The 24185-nt window shown below is 38.4% G+C and overlaps 1 protein-coding gene across 5 annotated transcripts in view; it reads left to right on the top strand.

Moving 5' to 3' along the window:
* SLC25A21 (solute carrier family 25 member 21) overlaps positions 1 to 24185 on the top strand; it is a 494686-nt gene that overhangs the window by 423048 nt on the left and 47453 nt on the right. For 4 of the 5 annotated variants that reach the window (XM_047431871.1, NM_001171170.2, NM_030631.4 and 1 more), the window contains 3 exons: positions 14986 to 15052; positions 19993 to 20052; positions 23882 to 23989. In XM_047431871.1, the coding sequence (XP_047287827.1) occupies positions 14986 to 15052; positions 19993 to 20052; positions 23882 to 23989 (235 nt within the window). Of the gene's footprint in view, positions 1 to 11767; positions 11994 to 14985; positions 15053 to 19992; positions 20053 to 23881; positions 23990 to 24185 lie in introns of all 5 variants that reach the window. The other variant, XM_011537289.4, reaches the window with a different exon arrangement.

Raw genomic sequence — 24185 nt, 5'->3', positions numbered from 1 at the left:
GCTCTGAGGGAGATAGGAAGGCATTGAGAAATTAGGCACAGAAGAGTGACATGAGCCATTTTTTATTTTAATAGGAGCATTCTGGTACTGCTTGGAGAAGAGACTGTAGGCAAACCAGTTGGGAGACTATTGCAATGTTTAGAGTAAGATATGATCAGGGCTTACACCAGGATAGTAGACATGAAGTAGAGAAAGAACTCAAGCATGATTTCAAAGATTCTGGCCTGAGTAACTGGAAAGATGGAGTTGCTATTCACTGATGATAAAAATAAAATACTTTAGCCAAATTAAATTTAGAAGAATTTAATTGAGCAAAGAACGATTCGCGAATCAGGCAGCCTCCTGAGCCAGGGTAGGCTCAGAGACTCCAGCACAGCCACATAGTAGAGGATTTATGGACAGAAAAAGGAAAGTGACATACAGAAAACATAAGACAGGTACAGAAAACAGCCAGATTGGTTATAGTTTGGCATCTGCCTTATTTGAACACAGTTTGAACAGTTGGCCACATTGGATTGGCCAAAATTCGGTGATTGGCAGAAGAGTAGGCTGCAGTCTGTTTACACTTCCCTTTAGGTAATAATTCATGATAGACAGAGAAACCTTAGGCTGAACTTTAAATATGTAAAAAGGCAGGCTTAGGCTAAACTTGATTTAACACTGATCTGGAGAATATTGTGGGTGGAGCAAGTCTGTGGAGGGAGAATCTGGAGTTCATTTTGAACATGCTAATTACAAGATGCCTGTTAGACATCCACGTGGAGATGGTTAGTAGGTGACTGGAGGAACTGGAGATGTATGACAGTTATCAGCATATGGTGGATAACTAAAGTCATAGGACCCGATGAAATCACCAGGGAAACAGACAAAGTCCACAAACTAAGCCCTAGGGTTGTCTTCTGCATTGTTTTTCAAGTGTTTTGAATCCTACTTAGTTTATCCAACTCATAGGATATTGACTGAAGGAGTTTGGTAGGGAAATAGCTAACCCTTATTTATTCATTGATAATAATGTGGTATGAAGGAACTAATTTTTCAAAATGATCTGGAAAACTGTGCATATGCAGAAGTCTATAAAGTACATGTAGACGTTGACTCAGTAAATCCAGAAAGCTCAGTGACTGTTTATTTAACTTGTGTTTTAGTCAGTTAAATAAGGACTTGGGCACTTTTTAAAAAAACTGATGCAGAGGACTGAATGACAAAAGAGATGACAAACCTTGGCTCAGCCGTTCCTCAAAAGCCAGCATTTTAGCTCCGTGCAGAAACCAAACAGAGCCCGAGGTGGAGGCCTTCAGCCAACATTAGAGGCATAGTCAGGGAAGAAGCGTTAGAGCCAGGAGGTAGAATGAAATTCCCCAGTGGACTTGATAGTGACTCCTTGAGAACGTGGAAGTCATACGGTGTTCAAGAGCTGAGGTTTTGGAGTCAAATAGACCTTTGTTATTGTCCTAACTCCATCACTTACTAGCTGTTTCACTACTAGGAAAGTTGCTTAACTTCGCTGAGAGAATAGTATCTATGTCATGTAAAAAATTGAATGGGATAATAATTGTAAAGCATTGTGCACAATTGCTATTTTTGTTTCTAACATATCCCTCCCTCAATAGTCTCAATTCCTGTAGAAATACAAACGGTCACCACACTTTTCCTTTGGAGACTAATTTAGTGAATTGAAAGTCCACTAAATCAGACTGTAAATTGTAACCTTCAAAATGCGCGGGTCCAAAGCTTGGGTATTTGGCAGGGGTGGGACAATGGAAGAGCTGCTTTTAACTCCAATACCACTAGGGGGCACCTCCAGAAATTAATTTTGGAATGTACTATAATAACCAATGGCCATGATTAATGCACTTCCAAATGTGAATTATACTTGGGGAACAGTCTGCTTGGTGCACTTAGTGCATGGCATCTTTGGCTTCAAACGTGTATGAATTGGTTGCAGCAGAATTCCACAACAGGGTGTGAATTCCTGAGGCACTGGGTCACACACTTAGTTAAGGTTCCTTTTGTGGAGGACATCTCTGAATTCTGAGGCTTTCTGCCCCAGCTGCCGTCATGTTAGCCCTGTAGCTAGGTCAAGCTGTTAAATCAGGCAACTAACAACAATGTACTAATTCATTTCCATAAACACTAGTACAGAGAACTGGCATAGACTCCATCTTTCTTCCACTAGTAATGCAGTGGAATTAATTTGCTCACTTTTTGTACAAGAGTTTTCCATGCTGGGTAAACAGCTAACATGTGGTTGAGCCAAAATTTAAGGCCAAAGAGTGTGGCTCCAGAGCCCACACTCATATTGCCTTTACTGACAAATAACATCAAATTAATACTAACTGCCAGAGAGTGGTGATTAAAAACAGGAATAACCATTAAGCAGTTTATAACCTGGATTAAATATGGTAATCATGTGACTAATACATATTCAATTCAGTGAAAAATATGCAAGTCATTCCAACTGTTAATATGGATACTGAGTCATGTCTGGGTATATGAATTTATATATATTTGTTGATGTATACATATAGATGTATATGTATAAGAGTGTGTGTGTGCATATATGCATTTAATATAATGTTATCTGGGTGTTACTATGTGTCAGACCTATAAGGTAATATGAAAGGCAACATCTTGGTTAAATAATGCAGGCAGGTACAATATCAACATTTTGTCTACCATGTCAGAGAAAGGTCCTTGGAGAAAATTAAGGTCTTAGTTGATTTTGGACAATAGGATCCTAGAAAAAGGTGTTTATCCTAGTGCTTGGCACAGAGTATATTAATGAAAGAGTGAGTTAAAATGTGAATGATAGTTACTTTATGAATGGGAGGGACAGAAACTAGAAACAGGAGATAAGAAAAGGGGAGCTGGTGAGAAGATGAGAGTGATCAGAATGGAGCAAGGAATTTCCTCAGCAAGGCTTATTTATCAATGAGCTGTCTGGTGAAGGACTTAATAAAAAATAGATTTAGGGATACTAGCACAACTGGGTTACATGGATATATTGCATACTAGTAAAGTCCAGGCTTTTAGTACCCATCGCCCAAATAAATGTACATTATACCCAGTAGGTGGTATTGTTTTCCTCACCCCTCTCCCATCCTCCCAGTTTTGGAGTCTCCAAAATCTGTTATTCTACACTCTGTATGTCCATGTGTACCCATTGTTTAGCTTCCACTTATAAAGGAGAACACGAAGTTTTTTGACTTTCTGTTTCTAAGTCATCCCACTTTAGGATAGTGGCATCCAGTTCCATCCATGTTGTTTCAAAGACATGATTTCATTCTTTGTTATAGCTGAGTAGTATTCCATGGCATACCACATTATTTTATCCAGTCATCTGTTGACGGACACTTAGATTGATTCCATGACTTTGCTATTGGGAATAGTGTTGCAATAAACAGATGAGTGCAGGTATCTTTTTGATATGATGCTTTTTTTTCCTTTGGGTAGATACCCAGTAGTGGGATTGATGGATTGAATGATAGTTCTATTTTTAGTTCTGTGAAATCTCCATCCTGTTTTCCATAGAGGTTGTAATATTTTACATTTCCACCAGCAGTGTAGAAGCGTTCTCTTTTTTCTGCATCTCCATCAACATCTGTTGTTTTTTGACTTTTTAATAGGCATTCTAACTAGTGTAAGGTGATGATATCTCATCATGGTTTTAATTTGCATTTTTCTGATGATTAGTGATGTTGAGCATGTTTTCATATGTTTGATGGCCACGTGTATGTCTTCTTTTGAAAAATGCCTATTCGTGCAACTTACAGAATGGGAGACAATTTTTGCAATCTATCCATCTGACAAAGGGCTAATATCCAGAATCTACAAAGAACTTAAACAAGTTTACAAGAAAAAAATAAACAACCCCATCAAAAAGTAGGCAAAGGATATGAACAGATACTTCTCAAAAGAAGACATTTATGCAGCCAACAGACATATGAAAAAATGCTCATCATCACTGGTCATCAGAGAAATGCAAATCAAAACCACAATGAGATACCATCTCATGCCAGTTAGAATGGTGATCATTAAAAAGTTAAGAAACAACAGAGGCTGGAGACGATGTGGAGAAATAGGAACGCTTTTACACTGTTGGTGGGAGTGTAAATTAGTTCAACCATTGTGGAAGACAGTGTGGCGATTCCTCAAGGATCTAGAATAAGAAATACCATTTGACCCAGCCATCCCATTCCTAGGTATATACCCAAAGGATTATAAATCATGCTACTATAAAGACACATGCACACGTATGTTTATTGTGGCACTATTCACAATAGCAAAGACTTGGAACCAACCCAAATATCCGTCAATAATAGACTGGATAAAGAAAATGTGGCACATATACACCATGGAATACTATGCAGCCATAAAAAAGGATGAGTTCATGTCCTTTTCAGGGACATGGATGAAGCTGGAAACTATCATTCTCAGCAAAATATCACAGGGACAGAAAACAAGGCAGCGCATATTCTCACCCATAAGTGGGAGTTGAACAATGAGAACACATGGACACAGGGAGGGGAACATGTTGGAGGGTGGGGGGCTGGGGAGGGATAGCATTAGGAGAAATACCTAATGTAAATGATGAGTTAATGGGTGCAGCAAACCAACATGGCACATGTATACCTATGTAATAAACCTGCACGTTGTGTACATGTACCCTAGAACTTAAACTATAATAAAAAAAAAGAAAAATGCCTGTTCATGAACTTTGCCCACTTTTTAATGAGGTTATATGTTTTTTTCTTGTTGAGCTGTTTGAGCTCCTCGTAGATTCTGGATATTAGCACTTTATCATATGCATTGTTTGCAAATATTTTCCCTCATTCTGTAGACTGTCTGTTTACTTGGATGATTATTTCTTTTGCTGTGCAAAAGATTTTTAGTTTAAGTCCCATTTGTCTATTTTTGGTTTTGTTGCATTTCTGCCAATGTTCAGAAGAATTTCTCCTATATTTCTTTTTCTAGTATTTTTATAGTTTCAAGTCTTATATTTAAGTCTGTAATCCATTTTGAGTTGATTTTTGTATATGGTGAGAGATAGGGGTCCAGTTTCACCCTTCTGCAAATGGCTCTCCAATTTTCCCAGAACTATTTATTGAATAGAGTATCCTTTCCCCAATATATATTTTTGTCAACTTTGTCAAAGATCAGTTGGTTGTAGGTATGTGGCTTTATTTCTAAGTTCTCTATTCTGTTCCATTGATCTATCTGTCTGTTTTTGTGCTAATGCCATGCTGTTTTGGTTATTATAGCCTTCTAGTGTAATCTGAAGTCAGATGATTTGATACCTCCAAATTTATTCTTTTTGCTTAGGATTGCTTTGGCTATTTAGGCTCTTTTTTGGTTCCATATGAATTTGGAGATTGTTTTTCTAATTATGTGAGGAATGATATTGGTAATTTGATAGAAATTGCATTGAATCTGTAGATTACTTTGGGCAGTATGGTCATTTTAGCAATATTGATTCTTCCAGTAGATGAGTATAGGATTTTTTCCCACTTGTTTGTGTCATCTATGATTCTTTTCTCAATCTTTTGCAATTCTCCTTGTCAAAGTACAAATACTCCTTGTAGAATTTTTCACCTCCTTGGTTAAGTATATTCCTAGGTATTTTATGTAGCTATTTTAAATGAGATTCAGTTCTCGATTTGGTTATCAGGTTGATTATTATTGGTATATAGAAATGCTACTGATTTTGGTATGTTGATTTTGATTCCTGAAATCATGTATCAAATCTAGGAGTATTTTGTGGTTTCTAGGTATAAAATCACTTTATCAGTGAGAGATCATTTGACTTCCTTTTCCAATTTTGATCCTTTTATTTCTTTCTCTTGCCTGATTGCTCTAGCTAGGACTTCCAGTACTACGTTGAATATGATTGGTGAAAGTGGGCATCCTTGTCTTGTTCCATCCTTGTCTTGTTCCTTGTCTTGTTCTTAGGGGAAATGCTTTCAGCTTTTCCCCATCCAGTATGCTGTTGGCTGTGGGTGTGTCATATATGGATGGCTTTTATTATTTTGAGGTATATTCTGGTGAAGGACTTTTTTTGCTCCATGATTGGGTTGTCTTTCCTGGTTTTCAGTCCGAGTCCAAGAAATAGAGTTGTTTTTTTTTCTTGGAGTCCTTTTCCTCATAGTGCCACCCACCTAAGTGAAAAACTGCCCTTTGATGATTATTATTTCCTAGTGGAAAGTGTTCATCTTTATAAGCAAAGTGATCTGCTGTCACTGAAAATTAATACACTTACCATATAGTCAGTTATAAATAAGTTTCTTCACTTACAGATTAATGGGGCAATGAACACCCACATTTTACCAATACTATTCACCTCTTTGGTTGCTTCTCAAGTATCTTTTTCACTTTTTCTTTCCTTAGTGTTTTCCATCAGGGTTCTGGTTCTCATATCACACTAAGGCCTTTCTTGGGCTGAACTGAGCAACATGTTTAGTGCATTGAGCACTCTGCCAACTTTCCAGGGAATGGAGCCATGGACTTACCTCCTAAATGATACTGACAGCTACAATAAATTTTTGTATTTTAGAAAATCAAAGTTGTAGTTTATTTCAGTTGCACCCAAAAAAATTTCATTGTTGTGGTAAAATCATACTAAACATACAGTTTGAAAAGTGTGTTCAGGAAAACTTGAAAGAATTCCTCCATACAGCGTATAATGAAAGTGGTATGGTTTGGGGTAACAAATCAATCCAAAGACCATATGCAGAAACTTAATTGAATTAATTCTCAGTAATGAATAATGAAAACTATATTGTCATTGCCTGAAGACCTGATATGAGTTGGGTAGGCAAAACTTTTGTTAGTTTTATGTTAGAATGTTAGCTAAAGCTTATGTGCACTTCCTTGAAATTTATTTGCTGCTTTTAAAAGAAGAATCTGTGTCACTTGCTCTCTTTTGAACTGTTTTTCCTCCCTCTAAAAGATATGTGGTTTTCCCTCCCTCTTTTGCCTCAATGAAAATGGCCCCAAGATGCATGCAATTTTGTGAACTTGAGATTATAGATTCTACATAATTCAAATCACAGAGCCATGAAACCCCACTCTTTCATTTGGATTCTGTGAACTGCTGACACTTGTGGAGTGCAAATGATGTCAGAATAATGCCCTAAAGGTGTAGTGTGTAGTGTGTAGTGTCAGGACCAGAATTCTGGTCTGGGATACACGATCCATCAAACAATGGAAGCCGTGCACTCATAACCCAGGGTTGAGCGTGGACTTCGTTGTTTTAATTACAGAACCACAGCATGTGGGTAAAAAACTTGGATCTGACAGCAGAAGAAGAAAGAGGATATTGTATGCCTTCAATCAGCTTTGTATTAGGAGATCCTTAAAGGAAAAATTTTGTGAAAAAAGAAAGAGGAAGAAAACAACAAACTAGCAAGATCTGTATTTCAGTATAATTTGGAGAAAATGACTGATTTGGGTTGGTCATGTTGCCAGAACAGATGACTCAAGGCTTCCATACAAGAAATGGAAATCAGGAGGATGCCTGAAGCCTGAAAGAAGAACAAATTGTAAAGATATGATTGACTGTAAGGCTTCAAAATCAACTGTACCAAAGATGAGCTTGAATCATTGCCCAGAACAGAGCTGAATGGTGATGTTCATTTGGGTTCTGGCTGTTGAAACAAAATAAAATGTAGTAATTGTACTCTGTTAGGTATACAGACGTGTTAATGCTTTCCAATTTCCCCAACTGGGGATCTGGTGTCACTTTCCCTGTCGCTCCTATTTCATGCTTCACTGGTGAGTATTATTGCTGCTCTGGATGCTTACTGAATGCCAGGTTTTTGGCAAAGAAGTGGGATCCAGGTGAAAGCATCCTTCTCATGCTGTGTGTGAGTGTGTTACAGGTGGCTTGGAAAATGGCTTTTCAACTTGGAGATCATTTCTGTAATTGATATTTTCAGGCTCAGATAATGTGCATCTCTATCCTGGCTTTCCCAGTGTGATGGTTGCTGGACTTTGATTATGAATATCAGCAGTTTGGATCCCAAAACACTTCATCCCTGACAACCAGGGAAAGCCCCAGCTTCCATGAGCAGCAAATTTACACATTGATCTTCTCCTCTTTTAGGAGGAAAAATGTCTTGTTCACAGATTTCTTTATATGCATTTTCTCTTTAATGTATCAGTTTAGTTTTATGGTAACATTTCTGATAGACAACAAGGTTGACTCTTTCTAAAAGTCAGTTGTGAAGCAGCTACACTGTTTTTCTTTCTCACTGGGAGCTGCAAATAAGAAAATATTCCATGTTCTTGCTCCTAACACCAAAAACCTAGTAGCCTAGTAACTTAGGAAATTTCCCAGCCTGCTTGAAAGAGGAGTTCAACTCTATGGTACAAATGATTCCCAAACACATATTTTCTACATACTAAATTAGAAAAATACCAGCAAAACCAACAATGGGGGTGACTCAGAGGGGTAAAAGGAGGGGCAGACAGGACATGTGATTTTTCCACTCCTTTTTAGTTTCTTTACCTGAGTCAAATTTTCAGAATGTTAAGCCTTCCCCTGTCTACCCACTATTTACCACAAAGTCTTCAGATTTCAGTAGCTAACTTAAAGCAAGGAACTTTTTTTAGTCGTTCAAACTGACTAAAGATATCAGGTACACAATGTTTAATTAAGGCTCTGTCTGGCTGACTGGTCTCTATAGGTGTCTAAAATTTAGACTTAAAAACAGGGTAACCTAAAACTGGACCCTACTAATGAGAGACAATAAGAAGGCATCTTTGAGGGTTTGCCTTGCTCTACATGAACCACAGAGACTGGACACAAGCTGGAACTCATAGGAAATTTCACATTTCCTTGCTTCCATACAGTCAGCATCTTTTCATTGGTTGCTCTGTGACCTCGTAGCCACCCATATGTTAGATAGCTTCACACTTTTAAGATGGGGGTGGGGGGGTTGAATGAGGGATAAAATTATTTTGTAGGGTTTGGCAGAAATCTGTACTTCAAATAAGCTATGTGTGAGCTGTCTTTGAGAAGAACACGTGATGTAGTTTTTGATCTTCATTTTACAGATGTACATAAGTAGTACAATTAAAAACAAATGTGATCCAATATTGTAGCACTGTGTATCTGCTTAGGTTTGTGAAAAATACCTCTCATTAGTCTATAAACCATCACAATCTAGTGGCTTTGGAGTCCTGGTACCCCCTCCTCATATTTGCTGTGTGACTTTGGTCTGCTAGCTTCTCTGTATTCCATCTGTGGTAAGGGGTTCTTTCACAGACAATCACACTAATGGGATGGGGTTTTATGTGTGATGGGCTCCCCAGCATAAACAATCTGAGACCATTTCTTAACAATAGTTCTCACAGCTTCCTTATAAATGCATTGCTTAAGATTTAACAATTATCTTTAATATAATTATGATTTTAAGAATTTCGATTTAAGGCTCTTTGTTCAGAAAGGGATGTGCTCCATCCTTAGCTTGGGAGCAATGATGTCTCACTTGGCTGCAGTCCACAGGCATCTCACACAGCTAGGAAACACCTAGCAAAGAAGACAGGACTTTTCTTCCTGTGGGCTTCTTTGCCTTAGACTGGAAATCCAAGCCTTCCAGCACACCATTCCCTCTTGTCTCTTGGGCTAGGTTTCAGTCATATGTCCATGCCTAACCCTCTCACTAGAAAAGGAATGAGGCCACCATGATGGGTTTGAACAATTCTGCTTTATCCCTTGGGCTGGAGGAGGACTCACCTCTCTAAGCACGGAGTATGGGCATCACTTATACTCTGAGGAGCAAGTGGGGTGAGGGGCATGTATCTTTTGGGTCAGTAACCAACATTCTCCCACATTGACAGAATTATCCTGGTGTGCCTCTTTTTTTTTTTTTTCTTTTTTTTTAGACAGAGTCTTGCTCTGTTGCCAGGCTGGAATGCAGTGACATGATCTCAGCTCACTGCAACCTCCACCTCCCGGGTTCAAGCAATTCTCCTGCTTCAGCCTCCCGAGTAGCTGGGACTACATGCGTGCACCACCACACCCAGCTAATTTTTGTATTTTTAGTAGAGAAGGGGCTTCACCATGTTAGTCAGACTGGTCTCGAACTCCTGACCTCACGTGATCCACCCACCTCGGCTTCCCGAAGTGCTGGGATTACAGGTGTGAGCTACTGTGCCTAGCCTCCTGGTGTGCCTCTTAAGGGCAAAAGTCTATCTTGGGGAGGAAAAAGTTTATCCTAGGGCTCATTTTTTCCTCATTCTGAAACAACTAGAAAATATTTAATCAATATCCCAAAAACTTTCACAAAAATGATTTTATTCATCTTAGACCAGTTCTATCAGTTATATAGTATTTCATATTACTTTAAAACAGAACTGAATAAAAATTGGAATAGAGACCTGTTTTCAGTGGCCTTTCCTGCTTCCTTCTAAAATAAGAAATGATAAGGTATTGCTGTAACATAAACAATTTTTCAAAAGCTTTTATTAAAATAGTTGTTTTAAAAAAAGCTATACAGTATAGCCTGGTGGTCAAGGACATAAAGAACTTGATTTAGGTTGCTATATCTTATTTGGCATTGACATGATGGTAGTCCTCACCAGCAAAATGAGGAAAATAATTATAAATACTTTAAAGGATTGTTGTGAAAGTTGATTGAGATTACCATGTGTACATATACCTACATGTTTTTATTCTTAACACAAAAGCTATTACATAGTAAGATTTCAACAGATTTGTCTATTTTTACTTACAATAATATTTACAAAAATCCATAAACATACGAGCTAATACTTTTTTACATAGGACAGTTAAAATCAAACTCACACCTTTTAGAAGTAACAACTTAGAGAACAAAATATAAAGGCTGCCATGTAGTTCATAATACAGTTTTATGGGAGGTGTTGTAGTAGCTCTCATGCCTCTTCCAAAGACTCTTTCTTCTAGTTGGCTTGATGTGAGTCAAAACTTTAGAGTAGAGTGATGCCTTTGCCGTCATGTCGGAGAGAAGAATGCCTTCACTGTACATAAACGTTTAGAATCCCACGATCCATTCATCCAGCAAGTAGACTGAAAGCAGCTCTTGGCTGCTCGTGACATAAGCGGGATGACGCATGTTAACAATGGGTGTCACCAATCTCTTAACTTCCTGGATTATGGTCCTGGTAAGCTGTAGGCTCTGCACAGCAAGCCAAAACCACATGAAGGCAGAATGGACAGTGCATGTGAATATAAACATCAGTTCTTTTGCAGAAAAAAAAAAGTATCTGCTTCATAAAACATCACAATTCCTTTTTGGTTTCTAGAAAGCTGCATATAATATTTTGCGTTGGGAAAACTTTCAGTAATTATCTAGTCAAGAATAGCTATCAGCTTGAGCCCTTAACCACATGCTCTTACCTGCATTTTATATGTGACTCTTCTGGTCTGCTCAAGGGCAAATTTTAACTGAGAGTGAAGCTCTTCCTATGATTGGACACAGCACAGAGGTTCTACAGCAGCCACTTTGGCTGGAGGGACAGTGATGCTTACTTTCTGGATCCAGGGCTCTGGGTTATAAATGATGAATGCAACTCAAACTTATTTAAGTAAAAGAGAGAATTTAATGGAAATGTCACTGAGTATCTCATACAATCAAAGGCAGGGGTAAATACCAATATTCGAGAAAGGCCAGACGTAACTAGGCTTAAATTCTGGAAGCAGGGCCTCACTCACAGAAACAGAGCTTCTCCTTCTTGCTTCTGTGCCTCCCTAAATGGTGGCTTCTTTCTTTTTTTATCACTGCAGATTGACTTTCTCCAAATGACTAAAAGCATGGCTGCCAATGAAATCCTAGTTTTATATGTTACAGTTTTCACCAAGCAGAGCAAGACTGACCCTGTATCATATTGTATCATATTATACGAATGTGTTTAAAACAACTTGATGGGGCAGTCCTCAGCAGAAGCGGTGCTGACCTGAGTGTTCCACAGTCCTCTATTGCATGGATATACGGTAAAAGCAATGCGAGGAGGTAGGTAGTCCTAGCTTCCATTTACCAACAAAGGCTGCCTGTGGTCTTTGAGAACTTCTTGTTAAAATTGCTCATTCTCAATTTGGAAGCTCAGGATGGTGGTATGGGAGGAGGGGAACGATCGCACATGAAAGTAGCTGAGCAGAGAGAAGGGAAGTAGGGCACATCAATGAAGCATCGTCAACACAAAGCAGAGGGCTCTGGACCTCCCAGCTCTTTTCATATTAAATCCTTATGCTTCTCCCAGCTGCCTCTTCTTCTCTCCTGCATCACACCTCTTTTTAATATTTTACCCCATCACTTTTAAAATGAAGACCTTCTGTGTACTTAGAAGACTTTAGTCCTCTTCCAGAGAAGCAGTGTAAGATTTGATGCAAAAGTCTAAGGTATGGCAGATTCTGTCACTTCAGAGAAGTGCTTGCCCATGTCTTCTTGTTCTTTTTCTCAGAATAACAGAATCTGAGGATTGAAACAGATCAGCCTTGAGGGCCATCAAATGCATGGATTTGCTGTGTATCTCCCATTGCTGGTATTCATGACAAGTGGCCATCCAGACTGCTTGATCACATACCAAAGGGAAACTCACCACTTTTCAGGAGAGCCCATTCTATCTTTAGACCGTTCTGACCATTAGAAGTACTTCATTGTGTTAAGCTCCACCTGGGCCAAAAATGTGTCTTTTCTTGTTGCTTCCACCTGTTGGTCCTAGTTCTACCACCTGGAAACAAAGAGAAAAGTGTAATGTCTTTCCTTAACACACACCTTTCAAAAGATCCATCATGTTCACCATATTTCTCCCTAAGATCATTCTTCTCCAGTTGAAGCAACTGTTCTTCCTATAACTGTTCTCTGTAGTTTGGGATTTCAAGTTCCTCTGTTGATCTGGACACTCTGTTTTAAAAGCTTTACTTATTTAAGTGTTTCTCTTTATTTTTTTTTTCCTACAATAATCAGGCATAGTCTTCCAGATGGGGAAAGATCAACACAGAAAGAACAGAACTAATAACCTTTATCATTATATATATAGAACTTCTGTTCAAGAAAATCACGTTTATCTTTTGGGAAGACCAACCTATGCTTGGTCACTCTTTATGCCAAAAATTACATAGTGATTAATTTATAATGAAATTTAAATGAGAAAAGTATTTAAATGTTATTAGTTGCTAGAAGTAATTCGTGTTGATGTGAGAATTTCAGGCATCAGTAATTCAAATTGGAATGGAAAAGGGGTGGGGACAACTCATGAATTGCCATAGCTCTCCAAATCATGTATCTGCTTTACTTCCTATTCATAATGCTAGCACTATCCATTAAGTCAAAAATCGTGGGCAGGCTGGGCACGGTGGCTCACGCCTGTAATCCCAGCACTTTGGGAGGCCAAGGCAGGCGGATCACGAGGTCAGGAGATCGAGACCATCCTGGCTAACACGGTGAAACCCCATCTCTACTAAAAATATAAAAAATTAGCCGGGCGTGGTGGCGGGTGCCTGTAGTCCCAGCTACTCGGGAGGCTGAGGCAGGAGAATGGCGTGAACCCGGGAGGTGGAGCTTGCAGTGAGCCGAGATGCGCCCCTGCACTCCAGCCTGGGCGACAGAGTGAGACTCGGTCTCAAAAAAAAAAAAAAAAAAAAAAAATTGTGGCCAGAATAAGCCCATATCAGAGAATAATTTGATCCCTTTCTTCCTCTTTATGAGATCCATAAGCTTAACAAATATTTGTGTCCTGGTTATATACAAAAAAAAAAAAAAAAAAGGATTCTGGGATAAGAACCCCAAAGGGTGCGCTGCCCTCAAGTTTCTATGTAAGCCAGTGAATTGAGGCTGGGTAAGCCCATGAATTGAGTAAAGCAGGCAAGTGCTTTAGTGCCCTCACCAAAAGGTACTGTGTAAGCCAGTGAATTGAAGGAGAACAAGAGGTCGCCGTGTTGGTTTGGGTGGTACAGTGGGTTCACTTGAATAAATTCTCAACTTCTTGTTCCCAGAAGCACAGCTAGAAGTGGACCCAGTTTAAGGGAGCTGGAGTGAAGCTTGGGGGGTGAATCAGAGAAGCTGCAGCCCCATGTTAGCTGGATATCCTAAATTAGGGACATGTTATGGACTCATCAGGAAAAGTGATTACTCAGAAAATAATGCATAATATTCTCTTCTATTTATATATTTTAAGGTTTGAAATGAAGATATGGCATATATATGAAGATTCCAGGACAAAGGAATTTAAAATTTTGAATTCTAAAAATATAATAAGAAATAAATGGTGACTTGTTATAAATCTAACCATATGTCACTCATTCTTGTTTTTTTTCTAAAAATATCTGACCATGTTGCCCGTCAACACTGGCAAAGTAAACTGGCTCATGCCCTGTGATTTTACATATCAGCAAGGGAGTCTGACATTTCTTCTGTTGGCAATACATAGTCCTGTAGCTGGCCCTCTGTGACCTTCTTCCACTTCCATCAAGGAAGCCTGAAAATTATGACTAAATCAGGACGGGGCTGGAAGCTCTAGTACCATACCCACAGAGCTTGTTAGTTCCCTTGTATTAGTAAAGCTAAAATTGAAAATTTCATCACCTCCTTAGCCTCAGAAAGGTACAGTCTAATGGGTTCAGGTATAATCCTAACCTCATTTGGTTGCCACAAGGGAGGAAATGCAGGACTGTAGATAGCTTGAAGCTACCTGCCACACAACTGAGAAAATAAACTCAAGAGCCCTTAGAGTAAGGACAGTCAGATTCATCGTTAAGGTACAACTAATGGTCATGCTTAGCAACTTATCTAAGGGATTCCTGTCTCAGTATCACGTATTTACCTTCTGAATATCATAATGCTAATAGACATAAAATTTATTTCTTTATTTTAGAATGAAAGGAAGACTTCATGATTGGTGTGCTATGTTGAATAATCGGGAATACTTTAGGATTATCTTAACAAAGTCAGAAATACTTGTTGCCTAATTTCCTTACTCATAGGAAATCTTTTATTTCTCCAACAGGTTATTTGGTTTTTACAAGGGAATTCTGCCACCTATCTTGGCTGAAACCCCAAAAAGAGCAGTGAAGGTAAGCATTGCATGCGTTCGCACCAAGCAAAAGTAGGGCACAGTAACAGCTTCAGCACAACAAACTCTTAAGACATTAAAATGAATTATATATAAAGCACTAAAAATTTTAATGCAGAAATTATAGCATAATTTTTATTATAATTAGACTTGGTCAGTCTCTCAAATATGTAGATCAATTTGTAGATTTTTTTAATCAGGTAAAAGCATTCCATTCTAATGGGGAAATTATTCAAAAAACAACATGGTGAATAAAATTCTAGTAATCAAACCACAAAATAGCTTGGACCTTTCTTCAAAGCAACTCAGAAATTTTTCTTTGGAGAAACAATTATTAAAGAAAGAGAGATGGAGGGAAGAGGAAAGAGGAGAGGAGGGAAAACTTTTCTCCCTAAATCATTCCCATTTCATGAACAGAGTAAACCAATATACCATATTTCTTTATATATGATTCTCATATAACATAATTTTTTGGAATGCCAACTTCATTTTCCCCCTTAGTCTCCTCTGTTAAAATTCTCTATTCTGGTTCTTAACAAAAATTATTACTTCCACTACCCTGATTTCCATTTACTTAACCACATAACTGTAGAGGTTTATGTACTACTTGCTAGTTCAGTATCTGAAGAGGAACAGGGAGATCCAGCAGAATGTCCAGGGGCAAAAGAACTCAATCTGACTACTGTCTTCTCTCAGACAAAAGTCCTGATCATAGCGACTCTGACAGGCATTGCTCCCCTCCCCCGCACCACTGACATCACCAAATAAGGCTTTGTCCTTCCATAATAATGATAACCTAAACTTAAAGACTTACTTTCCAAGCAACATAAGGTTTTTTTTCACATACATTACTCATGTGTGTGAAATGTATTCGCAGTACTCCTGAAAGACAAGAAGGAACAGTTCATATACTTTTACTCAGTAAGTTCAAGAGGGTGACTGGATTAAAAATTATGATAAAATCACCCACATATATACATGAACATCCAACCTTTATATGATGTCAAAGTGGCAATTTAATAGGATTGAATTCAAGTCTAGAATTTGGAAAACAAAGCTTTAGAACATACTTTCTCTATAAACTCACCCTCTTTGTTGGTATAGGTTTTGTGATTTTATAGTATCACTTCAATACAAATTTTGTTATAAGGATCTGAATCACAGTAATGAATCTGGAATAAGTTCACCAAAGTAGACAAAAGAGCTGAATTGAATTATGAAATGGCTTTACTTGATAAAAGATTGCCCAAGTAAACAAATAGAGCAGAGTTCCTGTTCAAAAGGGAAGTCACTTTGTCTGCATGGAATAATATACTCATCTGTTCAGTGAGTTACATGTATAGATAAAGTAAACTAAAATTAGAGTTTTTCCTGGAATATTTTTTTCTTAATATTATGTGTTGGAGACAATTTAAACTTTAAGAGGATTAAGACTTATCAACATTAAGCAATCTTTTACAGAAAAAAATAGTTGAGCTTTATAAAACAGAGTCAGTCCCTATTTTCCAAAAGCAATGTTCTGTGCCAGAACAATGGTTAACAGATGAACTTTTGGGCAACTGAATATGGTGTATGTGTCCCAGACATCTTGTTTCAAGTAGATTTTACCTTAAAATTATTGAGACATATGGTAAGTTTGTTGGCTTTTTAAGTATAACTTGGAGTTAAGTGTATCTTTGCCAGATGGATAGCACTAGTTTTTCAACACAATTTATGAAAACATTCATTTTATAGATATTTATCTTAGGATTTGTGAGGAAAGCAATCACCTGATTTTAACGATTTCATACATCATAAACTGCTTCATTGTATGTCATCAAAGAAAAAAAATATTCAGAGACTGAGGGGGGCGGGGTGTGTGTGTGTATTCTTTGGTACTGACACTTTAGTTAAAATCATTACCATAATTAGAAACAGACAATCTTAAGTTTTTATGTACTTTATTCTTTGAAATGAGCTTTATCATTAAAGTAATAAGACTTACTGATGCTAAATAAATGAAATTTCTCCTTTCACAAATTAGACAGAGTTAATATTGTAGTTAGCAAAAGGAAAAGAAGACTTCAGAGAGACCAGCTGATCCCTCACAGATGGGCGGCACCATGGTTCCGGCTTCAGGGTCCAGTCTTGAGCTTCACACATACAGAAATACCAGTTTTCCCATGTGCAGTTTCTCAAGGACTGCCTTATGCTAACTAAATTCACAAGAGATTATAAACTATGAAGGCTAATTAGTTCACTACAGTATACCTATACCAATCATAGTATCTACACATACTAGATGTTCAGTTGATATTAGATGAATAAAGGAAACATATATAAAAAGAAACAGAAAGAAAACTTAAAAGAAAGAAACAAAGAAATATACATAGAGAGAAAATTCCCACATCCACTGTTCAGAGTATCTGGAGGGCCAAGACTTCCACTCCTGGTGGAGATAGAGTAACAGGGACCAGTATGAAATAACAGTTTTCAAGACACTGGACATCAGATGATGAAGGCTGGAAATGCCTGAGAAATGGAAAACAAATGAAATGAGCCCTGTGATGCCACAGCTTACCACCTTGGGATACTTTCAGGCCCCGGGACAGGGAGGGGAAACTGAGGCAGAGCCCAGGGGACTCCCTGGGTTGAGAAGGAGCTGAAAGCCAGGGGAGAGCAGGGCAGCCAGAGTCCACAGGACAGAGTACCAGGGAAGAGCAGGCTGCACAGAGATAGAACTCCTGAGATCTGTAGAGGGACCCCTCAAGTGTTCAGCTGAGTATTGACCAGTGCACGCCTGCAAGGAAACTACCAATGCCTGGGAAAGAACCACCCAAAAGGCTTTGAGGGAACAGTGCTCAGCAGTCACATGGGGCTGAGAATAGTGCCTATTCCCACCAGCCAGACTGGAAAGCTTCAGCAGCCCCAGGGCATTGAGAGGAGTGCTCATATACTTAAGGCCTCTATGATTCCTTTGGTAACCTAAGTTACAGGGAATAAAAACTAAGATTTTTCAAAAGTCTTACTTGTGCCAGTCCTGTCAGGGAATCTTACTTAAATTATCTTATTTAATGATAATCTAAAAGGTAAGTTTTGTGTTCCTGAGAGTTAGAAAGGTTAAGCAGCTTTCCTGTGCTTTCACAGCTAAGCAGCATAACCTGGATTCAGCTCTAGGACTGCTCATTTCAAAATGCCAGCAAGGTGACTGTCAAAGTGATGATGATGATAATCATAAAAATGAAGAAAAATAAATTACTTTTAAAAGCTAAGATTGCCTGTAATCCCAGTACTTTGGGAGGCCGAGGCGGTCGGATCACGAGGTCAGGAGATCGAGACCATCCTGGCTAACACGGGGAAACCCCGTCTCTACTAAAAATACAAAAAAATTAGCCGGGCGTGGTAGCGGGCGCCTGTAGTCCCAGCTACTCGGGAGGCTGAGGCAGGAGAATGGCGTGAACCCGGGAGGCGGAGCTTGCAGTGAGCCGAGATCGCGCCACTGCACTCCAGCCTGGGCGACAGAGCGAGACTCCATCTCGAAAAAAAAAAAAAAAACCTAAGATTATAACACTTTTCCTTCCATGGTTAATGGTTTCTAGTGGTTAATGGTTTCATCAGAAAAGTGGTGGTCCCTGGTGTTTGCCGTTGAGTACTATTTTAACACCAGGGTAGTTTCAGGGCTTTCACTAGCCACTAGAATGTTAGCTCAAGTAGGCAGAGGTTTCTCTTTGTTTACTGTTGCATCCCCAGTACCTAGAATAGGAGGTCTCTAATAGTATTATTAAACGAGTGAATGAATGAATCCCTGTTTTAGAAAACTCTACATTCATAGTGCATTTGAAAGACCATGGCACAAAAGTAGTTCCTGAGTGTTGAAAAGAATCAAAATTTACCAGATAGTAAAACGATTCTTGGGCTGCCCAAACACTCACTGAAGCCATCTATAAGGAGCTACTTCTTCCTAACAACAGAGTATTTTTGGCTCTGAAATCTGGTTTTGCTTTCTTGCCCCATTTTACTGGGCTATAAAATAATAGAGTAGAAAATATTGGGGACCATATAATACCTATAACATTTTTGGGGTCTCGAGAATCAGACTCTAGCAGAACTTAAAAACGTGCCTTATCAGTGGTGTTGACAGCTACCTGAACATGCTACCCAGGAGCAAAACATGTTCAAGCACAGTTGTTGCTCAAAAAGTAGAATAGAGGAAGAAAAAAGGGGGGAAATGTATTATATGAAGCAATTGATTAGATTCGCCTCCATTGAAATTTGTTTGCAGAGAAAATGATACTAAACATTGTCTACTGAAGAAACCAACAATACCTTCACGATCTTCATCACCATCAGTTTTGAAGGAAGGAATTAGCAGCTTTCTTCATTCAGGTTGAGGACAGTCTTGCTTTATGGCAGGGGATGGACTAGATAACCTCATTGAGTCCTTCCCTAGTTTATCATGGCATCTTCATAATTATTTAGTGTTTTCAATTCCATGGAGCAGTGGGGAGACACCACAATAGAAATGCAAGTTAAGGCTGAAAAGTGGATGTCTTTTACAAATGTGTTAGAAAATTGGGCTTTCACTGGGAAAGCAGTTCATAGAGAAAACATAGGAGACCAAAGATGTCAGGTCTCTAGGCCTATAATGTTGAATCACTGCCATATATTGATGTCTGGGGAAACTGAAAATGGTCATGGTAAATGGAAGTTGTATGGTTCATTTACTGCTCTAAAGGATTTCATCAGCTCTTCTGTAGGTTATTATAACTGCATTTGAAACTGTGAATGTTAAAGAAAGATCCAATAGCAACTGCCCGAGACAGGATTAAAAACTGTATTAGATAGTTTATCATTTTTTGAAATGCTGGTTAACATAATGATTTACCAAAGAAATTTGAGTCAATTAAAGAGTTTGTTGCAGGAAAATTGTTATAAATCTGTGAGTTTGGTTTTGTTTCACAGTTTTTCACCTTTGAGCAGTACAAGAAATTGCTGGGATATGTGTCACTGTCACCAGCATTGGTAAGTGAGAGTATTTATTATACTTAAATGTGTGTGTTATTTCATAAAGCAAAATCTAGAAACAAAAACTCTTTTGATTTCCAAGCCCAGCTACTAAAATATGAATTCGAGTTATTCAGTGTTCAGCTACTTGTTGAAAGCCATCTTCCTAATAACTCACAATTTGGCTATTTTATAGCTCCCAGTGATGAATTTATGATAATAATGATATGTCTGGAAAGGCCCCATATGAGATATGGTCAAGAATATGAAATAAAGAGTACATTTATCAAAGACTCCTTTTAAACCAAGACATGCATGTATTTACATACATACTGCATATATCTATCCAAAAGTCAACATGCCAAACAGGTCACTTTTCCAGCTTTTGCACCAGCTGTAGTAAATATAAGACTTCAGATCGATCCCTTGGGATAAAGTCACTCTGTGGTCAGATGCAGACTGAAGGGCCTTTTATAGGAATGACTGTAAACAACTCAGCTAAGGAGAATTGTGATATTACAATGACATATCTCATGTATCACACAAAATTCACTTGGTGATTTGAACATTTCCCTATGCCATTCCCCTCCTTTTTGGTGACTTTGCTGCTTTTCACAGAAGTTAATTGTATTGACCAAATGGGTTCTACAAATGTGTGTGCAACAAGAGCCCCTGAGAGAGCAAATGCACTAATTTCTCCTTCCAAGTCTGCAAAGCAAAGCAAAACAAAATCTGCATTGGCCCTCCAATTGGCAATGTACTCCAGCCTCTAGGAAAATGCCCTCATTTGTCCAATGAAATGGACAATATTTGAGATATGTATTCTGCCAAATAGGCTGTCCAAGAAGAAGTATCTGTTATTTTTAAAAAATCATACATGCCCCTTTTCTAGGAAAAATCCTGTTAGGAAACCTAATAGCATCACTTTTTGTTATAACAAAGCAATGTCTTGTCCAGCCCTTGCCTATACAAGATAGCTGGGAGACATGGCTTCCTAGAGAGGAGCAGTGATACCATGAATCTCGAAACTAGCTGGGATTTTTTCCTTTTAATTCTTTGGCATCTTCCCTTAATGTCATTCTTAAGTTTGGAAACAGCTTGGCAAAAAAGAGGATTAAAAATTTCCTAGTGAGAAACAATAAAATATTGTCTCCAGAGGGCCAGCTGGCTGTTCTTGTGTCAAACATTGGTACCATGTGAGAAACTGTAGGTCTTTGGACTCTTGAGAATTGAAACAGAAAAGCATTTGGTCACTGCAGCTACTATAACCAAATGCATGCCAACTGTGTACGGTTCTTCTCTTTTCTTGAACTCATTTATTTCAGTTACTTTTTTTTATATGGCTAGACATTTAAACAGCTGTTAAATGTCCCCTGGTGCTCTCACATGAAAAGCCTAGGAGACTGGAAACCGAACAGTAAATGTAGGTTTCTGGAACAACCTACGTAACATGATCTGCTGATATCTGATCAATTCTTTTGACAAGGGACTGCTGAACACTAGTTCTGACAGCAAATGTAGCTGAGTTTTATAGAAGAACAAAAAAGTGAATTACTTGGAAGATTGCATAGAGTAAGTAATAAAAACCTGGACATCTGGATTTTAGCTTTCCCAGTCAAAAGAGTTTGGGACTAGTATTTTTTTTTCCACTTTTGGCTTCTATCATGGAAGTCTGAGATAAATGAATAAAATATTTGATGAGTTACCCTATACAAATATGTTTAAAATTATAATGAAGGGAGATGAAATGGAAACATCATCAGTGAGTCTCTCTCTCCTAGAATCTGTATGCAATTTCTTTCTTTCTTTCTTTTTCATTTTCTTTTTCTTTTTTTTTGAGACAGAGTCTCAATCTGTCGCCCAGGCTGGAGTGCAGTGGCATGATCTCAGCTCGCTGCAACCTCCGCCTCCTGGGTTCCAGTGATTCTCCTGCCTCAGCCTCCCCAGAAGCTGGGATTACAGGCATGCACCACCAAGCCCAACTAATTTTTGTATTTTTAGTAGAGATGGGGTTTCACCATGTTGGCCAGGCTGGTCTTGAACTTCTGACCTCAGGTCATCCACCCAACTTGGCCTCCCAAAGTGCTGGGATTACAGGCGTGAGCCATTGCACCTGGCCCATTCTTCCTTTTTTATGCGCAACAAGAACAATGGTGTTTGCATAGCACTCTATGAAATGGTTTCACACATTATTTTGAGCCTTAAAATAACTTTATAAGCAGGGAAATTAGATATTATTATTTCCATTTTACAGATGAGAAAACTGTGGCTCATCAGAGATTCAGCAATGTATACAACAGAGCCACAACTAGCACCCATGGCACCTTTGGGTAAATAATGAAAAGTTGCCCCTTCTCCTGACCGATGCCTCTCCAGGGCTTCTCTTAGCAAGTGAGGGGCAAGCTGGATTCCAGCCTCCAAGCACCCTTGGTTGGGCACCTTTGTCTATGCACAAGCTACTGTGTGTTACAGTTCTAGTCACACAGCCAGTAAGTGCTAGAATTGGACCTAAACCTAGACCTCCTGTCTCTGGATCCTGCCTTTGTGCCTCCCTTTCTAAGGTTACACAACATTCCTTTCTCCCTCCTTCCTCTCTTTTAGAAGATATTCCTTTCTCCCTCCGTCCTCTCCTATTTAGAAGATATTAGAGCCCATTAACAAGAGTTACCTGTTATTTACTCTTCACTGGTTTTATTCTTCTCTTGGTTGTCTATAGTACTGCCTCTTGTCCTGGAATTGGAGGTTCAGCACTAAATAATTACCTTTTTTCCAGCATCTGTTTTGGAGACTGGGGCTTTATTTCATTTTGTTCTTCTGTCTTGTGTGTGCATGTTTTAATTGTTGTGCTTATTTTTGATGCAGATTTTCTGGAAAACACACAAGCATTCTACCTAGAGGAAAATTCTAGAAAATTGTCCTTTCCTGTTGCAGAAATTCTTAACAGATAGCGAATAAGAACTTGACATACAGTCACCTTTTGATAAGTTTTCTACATTTTATTTGAGCCTTTCAGAATAACCTAGTCATTTCTTTGTCTTTGTCTTTCTTTTCTTCTTTTTCTTCTTCTTCTTCTTTTTTTTTTTATTTTATTTGAGACAGGGTCTCACTCTGTTGCTCAGGCTGCAGTACAGTTGTTCAATCATAGCTCACTGCAGCCTTGAACTCTTAGGCTCAAGTGATCCTCCCACTTCAGCTGCCGAGCAGCTGGGACTGTGGGTGCACATCTAGCCATTTCTGATCTCAGCTTTTAGGTTTAGAAGACTGCGTCAATTGCCGGTGTTTTTTAAAATAGGGAAAAGATGAATAAAAAATAATTTTTGTTTGTTAATAGTCCAGAATAGTGACTCTAAAAACATGAACATAGAGTTAAATGTTTCCAGCTATGTTGTTACCTGAAATTTAGCTTTTTAGAAACATTTTATTTGTGGTTGTGCTCCTTGGATTTCTTATATGCTCAATAAAGGAATTTAAGTAGATGTTTAAAAATGAAGCTCTCTTTTTACAATTCAAATTCTCTTAATTGTTATCTGTGCAGATGTTTTAATATCCACCTTTAAATCAGTAAAACAACCTTGCTTTTTGTTAAAGGAAAGAGTCGTTGTTGATGGGGCTTTGACATTTTATTTTGAAATTGTTAGGATGTGGTTTGTGGCTTCTGTAATTTCTTCTTCATGAATTGTCAGCATCTAATCAAGAACTAAAGCTGTTTAGTAATGGAATATGGTGCGTTTATGTAGGTTTCTCCATTCTCTTTATAACGTTCAGCTGCATAGTGTAATGAATAGGATGTTTAACCCCATACACATGATAACTTGTTTTAAAGTATTGATTGATTTAATTTTTCTAGACATTCGCCATTGCTGGATTGGGATCTGGACTAACAGAAGCCATTGTAGTTAACCCTTTTGAGGTAGTAAAAGTTGGCTTGCAAGCAAATCGGAACACATTTGCAGAGGTAACCATTTAATGTTTTTCTATTGTTAGGGGCATGTAAAAATTTATTTATTTATTTATTTATTTATTTATTTATTTATTTATTTATTTATTTTGGGACAGAGTTTTGCTCTTGTTGCCCAGGCTGGAGTGCAATGGCGCAATCTCGGCTCACCGCAACCTCCGTCTCCTGGGTTCAAGCTATTCTCCTGCCTCAG

Source organism: Homo sapiens, chromosome 14, assembly GCF_000001405.40.
Source record: "Homo sapiens chromosome 14, GRCh38.p14 Primary Assembly".
NCBI classification, from domain to species: Eukaryota; Metazoa; Chordata; class Mammalia; order Primates; family Hominidae; genus Homo; species Homo sapiens.
The sequence above is the reverse complement of the archived record's forward strand: the minus strand, read 5'-3'. Positions and strand labels throughout refer to the sequence as shown.